This window comes from Homo sapiens, chromosome 20 (assembly GCF_000001405.40).
Source record: "Homo sapiens chromosome 20, GRCh38.p14 Primary Assembly".
Lineage (NCBI taxonomy): Eukaryota > Metazoa > Chordata > Mammalia > Primates > Hominidae > Homo > Homo sapiens.
The window spans coordinates 8936439-8942376 of NC_000020.11; the positions used below are offsets into that span (position 1 = coordinate 8936439).

At 41.6% G+C, this 5938-nt stretch overlaps 2 annotated features.

The window, feature by feature from the left end:
* Nucleotides 247–751: an enhancer, noted in NCBI's record as "H3K4me1 hESC enhancer chr20:8917332-8917836 (GRCh37/hg19 assembly coordinates)". NCBI's record gives its function as "activates a minimal SCP1, AML or CMV promoter by ChIP-STARR-seq in primed H9 embryonic stem cells {active_cell/tissue: H9 hESC(primed)}" and the evidence as "EXISTENCE:reporter gene assay evidence [ECO:0000049][PMID:30033119]".
* Nucleotides 752–1254: an enhancer, noted in NCBI's record as "H3K4me1 hESC enhancer chr20:8917837-8918339 (GRCh37/hg19 assembly coordinates)". NCBI's record gives its function as "activates a minimal SCP1, AML or CMV promoter by ChIP-STARR-seq in naive and primed H9 embryonic stem cells {active_cell/tissue: H9 hESC(naive and primed)}" and the evidence as "EXISTENCE:reporter gene assay evidence [ECO:0000049][PMID:30033119]".

Genomic DNA, 5938 nt, shown 5'->3' on the forward strand with positions numbered 1-5938 from the left:
GCCCAGGCTGGAGTGCAGTGGTGTGACCTCAGCTCAATGCAGCCTCAGCCTCCCGGGTTCAAGCCATTCTCCTGCCTCAGCCTCCCGAGTAGCTGGGACTACAGGCACGCACCACTATGCCCAGCTAATTTTCGTATTTTTAGTAGAGACTGGGTTTCACTATTTTGGCCAGGATGGCCTTGATCTCTTAACCTTGTGACCTCTAGCTTTAAAACCCCTCCGATATAGACAGAACTCAAACTGGAGCCGGACCTGAGGAATGGTGAATGGAGCATTTTCCCTGGTGTGACGGAGAGGACCTACAGATCTGGCTATCTTGTCCCTTGCATCCCTCTGCAGAATTTGACCCCAGTTTTCAAATCAGACTCAAGAATGATCTTTAGTGTTTATGATTTTGTGTTTTTCTTTTCTTTTTTTTTTTGCTTTGTTATTGACACAGCTTCTGGAAATCTTTTTCACAGAGAGTATGGGGACTTTTTGGCCAAATTGGGCAGATGCAGGCTCCATCTGCTCCACCACCACTGTCTGGGCCACAGCATGTCCCCTGCGTCCTGCTCCTCTACAGGGGTTTCTGCAGTGGAATCTGCTCCCTCACAAGCCCATCTACAAGGTGCTCCTGTGCTCCAACCCTGCTGTTTCCAAGAAGGCAGGTCCTGGGACTGCCAGGATCCCTCTCCCTCAGACAGCGCAATCTGTGTAGGCAGCAGGCCGGAAGTGGTGACAGCCACCATGACAGTCAGGGCCGAGGGCAGGACGATCACATTAGAAAACAGCATCCGGCCTCCAGGGGCGAGCGGAGTGACTCGGCCTCCATCTCCCCCTTGAGGCAGCCATCTTGGCGCCGCTTTCCTCAGGAGCACTGCGAGCTCGTCCTTAGGACCCGCTTCTCGGCTTTTCTTCTCCCAACTCTTTTTACCAGGCAGTGGCGTGGCCTCTCTGGCCCAGCAGGGAATGGGCGCAGGGAAGGGAGTGGTAGTAACGAGCGAGGCATAGAGGCTTTTCTGTAACAGCAGTTATGTTACCCTGATTAATACAAAATTGCCTCCACGAATCACAAAATTACCCAAGCAAAAAATAAGGTCTAGGTTTTAAGAAACTAACTCCTGAAAGAATTGACTCGTCCTGGGACAATGTACAGAGTTGATGTCTGGTTAATTAGAGGTCACTGGGATAGAATTCTTCCTGATATAGCGCGGCATAAAGGTGTGTATTAAGGACTCTAGGTAAAGAATCACGTGGAGAGAATCTTCAGGTTTAACACAAAGATCCCAGTTTTTCAACAAAAGGGAGGTAAACTACTCAGATGGGGTCTAAGTTGTAGCCCAATGTCACAGCCTGCTCCTGCCACAATTTCTTATTGATGCCAGGAGACTGCCTTTGTTTACTGCAGTCATCATGGCTGTTGGGAAGTGTTAATAACTTGCTTTTTATTTTAAGCGGGTGTGAATTGCATGGGTTCTGTTTCCTAATAAGAGTAGTGTCACCTGATATTTTCACATAAAGAGAGCTGCCTCGTGGCATGTCTTCTGAAGCTAGCATGTGCTTATCCTTCACAAGCCCACAAAAACTGCAGACTGTAATTCAGAAATTTGATTTGATCATTCCACTAAACCTCTAAGCCCAATGTTTTCTTCAGCTCAGTGTTTTCCTTGCCATAAACTTACCCTCAGAGGGAACCACTGACATTTTAAGAGCTGAATCCTTACAGACACTGAGGCCAAAAGGACTTCAGTGCCAACTCTGCATTTTGAGGCCATTAAAAAAAATATCATCAAAGACTGGGGTTGCCAATCAGAGGTTCTCCATAGTGAGTGTCCAACAATAAGATCATAGTGACTGCTTATTCCAAACCAAAGTTACCACATTCGATACTCAAGGTTTTCAACAGAATTGATTCCAATTAGAGCTTCACATTTTCCATTAAGCTGTATGAAATATTATAAATCTATTGAGAACACCAGTAGAAGAATGGCTAACTAAATCGCAGTATACTGGCACAAGGGAATACTATACTGCAATGAGAATGAACAATCTTCAATTATACCTGACCACATGTATGAATTTCACAAACACAATATGGGGCACAAGAAGGCAGACAAGAGAGTATACAATGTGTGAGTCTCATTATATAAAGCTCAAAAGCAGACCAAATTAATCTATTGTGTTAGAAGCCAGAATGATGATTAGGTGGAGTACTTACTAGAGGAAGGTATAAGGGAACTTGTGGAGAACTCGTCATGTTCTGATTTCAGACTTGGTCTCTAGTTCCCCAAGTGTGTTCAGCCTGTAAAAAATTTATTAAGCTGTACACTACCTCCTACTGCACTTTTCTAAATATGTTATACTTAAATAAAATGTTTACTTAAAAGCCAATAAAAAATCTTAAGGACCCCTGGAGAGATACCTCAAAGTTTAATGATCCCAGGTAATGAATCACTACCTCATATACTTTTGAAAAAATTTATTTTTGCATTTTGTCATACATTGCCAATTAGAGTCTGTATTAGTCAGCTCTAACACTGCTATAAAAAAATACCTGAGTCTGGGTAATTTAAAAGAAAAGAGGCTTAACTGGCTCATGGTCCCACAGGCTGTACAGGAAGCATGGCAGTATCTGCTCAGTTTCTGGGGAGGCCTCGGAGAACTTACAATCATGGTGGAAGACGAAGGGGGAGCCAGTACTTCACATGGCTGGAGCAGGAGGAAGGGGTGTGGGGGAAGGTGCTACACACCTCTAAACAACCAGATCTCTTGAGCAGTCACTCACTGTCATGAGAGCAGCACCAGGAGGATGGTGCTAAACCATTCATGAAGGTTCATGAAGATTACCTCCATGATCCCATTACCTCCCACAAAGCCCCATCACCAGTATTGGGGATTACGGTTCGACATGAGATTTGGTCAAAGACACAGATCCAAACCATATCAGGGTAAATCAGGTTAAAAGAGTTTTACAAATGTGAGATTTGGAAAGATGTATTTATGATTGGATTCTGTTTCCCCCTTTTCCCCCACGTCTTTCAATTTTTGATTATAAGGAAACATACATGTTTTAAAGTGGTGGCTAAGATTCAGGTGTGGCCTGTGCTCTTGGCAAAAGCCAAATTTCAACAAACTTAAAGATCTAATTGGCTTTTTCATGCCTTGGGGGGCATCTCATCTAAAGAGTTAGAAAAGGCTCTCTGATGACCTGAGCAGGAGTTGGCTTTATAGGCAAAAAGGGGCTGAAGAAAGCAGAAACAGGGAACAAAAAGCAGATTAGTTAGCATCAGGTTACTTCACATTACTCTTTTTGAAAGAGTTAAAGTCGAGGGGACTTCCTTATCATGCTGGCTAAAACTGGCCTTTTGGGGAGTTTGGCTACTAGCCATCCCTCTCCTGATTTCTTGGAAAGTCAGATAATAACACTTAGTTTTATTATCTAAGTAATAGAGTAATGGTAATGGAGAACTTGAACATGACTGACTCCATTTCGGTTTGGTCTGTTGGAGCCTAATGTAGGAGCTCAGTCCAAATCAATGGCCTCTTATAGATTTTATGTAACACTCCATAGATAATCTATGGACATAAAACCAGACCTTGCTTGACAGTGTTAAGCAGTCATGGCTATTATGTGCTTAAGAGTCAGTATAGCCCTTAAAAAGTTACCTCCATCACCTCAATGGGAATGAAGCGCAACAAAGATTTGTCCCTCATTGCTTCCATTATGCTTCTCTCAACTCATTGCTTCCATTATGCTTCTCTTTTTGATTCTGTCCTAATGACACAAATAAGTCCTAACCAATATGTATCCATCTAACATTGCTAAGCTGTGTTGTTTCACCACCACCACCAGCATCTCCACCATCACCCTCAAATGGTTAGAGTAATATTCACTTGCTATTGTGACTGTATTTCTTGTTATTATTGCTGATATTATTGCTACATAACAGATTACACCAAAACTTAGCAGCTTTTATTATTTTATCTTGTTCTTGGTCTTGTGGGTTAGGAATTCAGAAACAGCCCAGCTGAGCAGTTGTCTCTTGGAATCTCTCATGCAGTTGCAATCAGATGTTGGCTGGACTGCAGTCATCTGAAGGACTGGACACGCAAGATGGCTCACTCAAGTGCCTAGCAGGAGGTGCAGGCTGTCAGTGGACTTAGCTAGGGCTGATGACTGGGGCATCTACATGTAATTCCCCAGCATGTTGATGTCAGGGCAGTCAGTTTTCTTATATGGTTAACCTCTAACTTCCCCATAGCGAGTGTTCCCTGAGAACCCAGGGGAACTGACTTTGCCTTAGAAATCATACAGCATTGCTTCTGTTGCATTCGGTTAATTATAAATGAGTCACAAACCCAAGCAAATTCAAGGGGAGGCGATTATACCCCACCTCTAAATGGGAATAATATCAAAGGATTTTCAGCCATTTTTTTAAAACCACCACCCTGTGTGACCAGGGCAATAACCAAATTAAATTTAGTTGATTGTTTTTCTCATGCTGATGTCCTTTGGTTCTTCACCCAGAATGTTGTGTGCAGTCATAGAAATGCAAATCAATTAATCCAGTTGCTGCATTAGGTATATTATCAAAGAAGCCACAAGATGTTTCCATTTAACGAACACAGATTTTTATAGGGCTTGCTCCTCCAATTCTGTGGGAAAGAACTTTTTATTCACCTGTTCCATTTGAAGAAATGGAAACCTAGAAGGGCTCACAGTTTCCTATCTCTTAAGTTGCAGGGCCAAAATTTAAACATATTTTCTGACTCTAAGTCCAAGATTTACAAATACATCTCTGATAGTTTCAAGTTTAAATGAGCTTCATTCATTTCAGTAACATATTTTGCACCAAGCACCTGGATGTTTTCAAGATGAGTATATCTTACATCCTAGCATTATATCCTGGGATATTCTGATCTATTTGTTTAAGCTAGGAATTGTGCTAGCGCCAATGGATTGAAGTATCTGCTGCTCTTCTGATCAAAGAAATGGAATAAACAATTTTAGGAACTTTAACAGAACCATGCACCCAAGAGGAAGGACATTTTATTCTGGGTGCAGAATATCTTTATCAATTGCCTGGCTGAAAGAACTGGGGATTAATAAGGATTAGAATGGCAAGCAAAATGAAGATAGATGGAGTTGCTAAGGGATCAAGGGACTAGACTAGAATTCAATATGATCCTGGGTAAATTAAAAAGACAGCTTGTTAGAAATGAGGAAAAAAAATCAGTAGGAACAAATGCAAGGTGGCTCATCCCAACAAAAATCCACATTGCTTCAAAGGTGGGTAAGACTGGCTAGATATAACCATAATAGACACTCGCCCCAGAGCCAGTGAGTACCATGTGATGGATGAGAGTCAGCAATATTAATTTCAGGTGTGGGAGTTCATGGGCAAGACAAGAAGACTTTAGCTCAATAAATGGGGAATTTCTCTAACCCCACCCTCAAAGTAAATCAACTCTTCTTGCAATACATAATCAAAACTCCTTTATCTTTTATTTCATGGACTTTATTACTGTTGTAATTTTTAACATTTTGATGTAATTATGTGATTAATATCGTCTTTTCACTAGATGGTCAGTTCTATGAAAGCAGGGTCTGGATCTGTTTGCATCACGCATGCAATGCCTGCCATGCAGTGCCTTCCATGCGCCTAATGTGCAGCTGGTGTTTTCTCAATGGTTACTGAATGAGTAAATTAATATTAGGCTAAAAATAATGTATACTAGTGCTTGGCAAACGATGGCCCACTAACCAAATTTGGCCCATAACCTGTTTTTGTATGGCCTGTAAACTAAGAATGGTTTTATATTTTTAATGGTTGAAGAAATCAGAAGAATATTTTGTGATGTGAAAATTATATGAAATTCAAGTTTCAGGGTCTATAAAGAAATGTTTATTGGAACACATCCCACATTTGTACCTATTGCCTATGGCTGCTCTCGT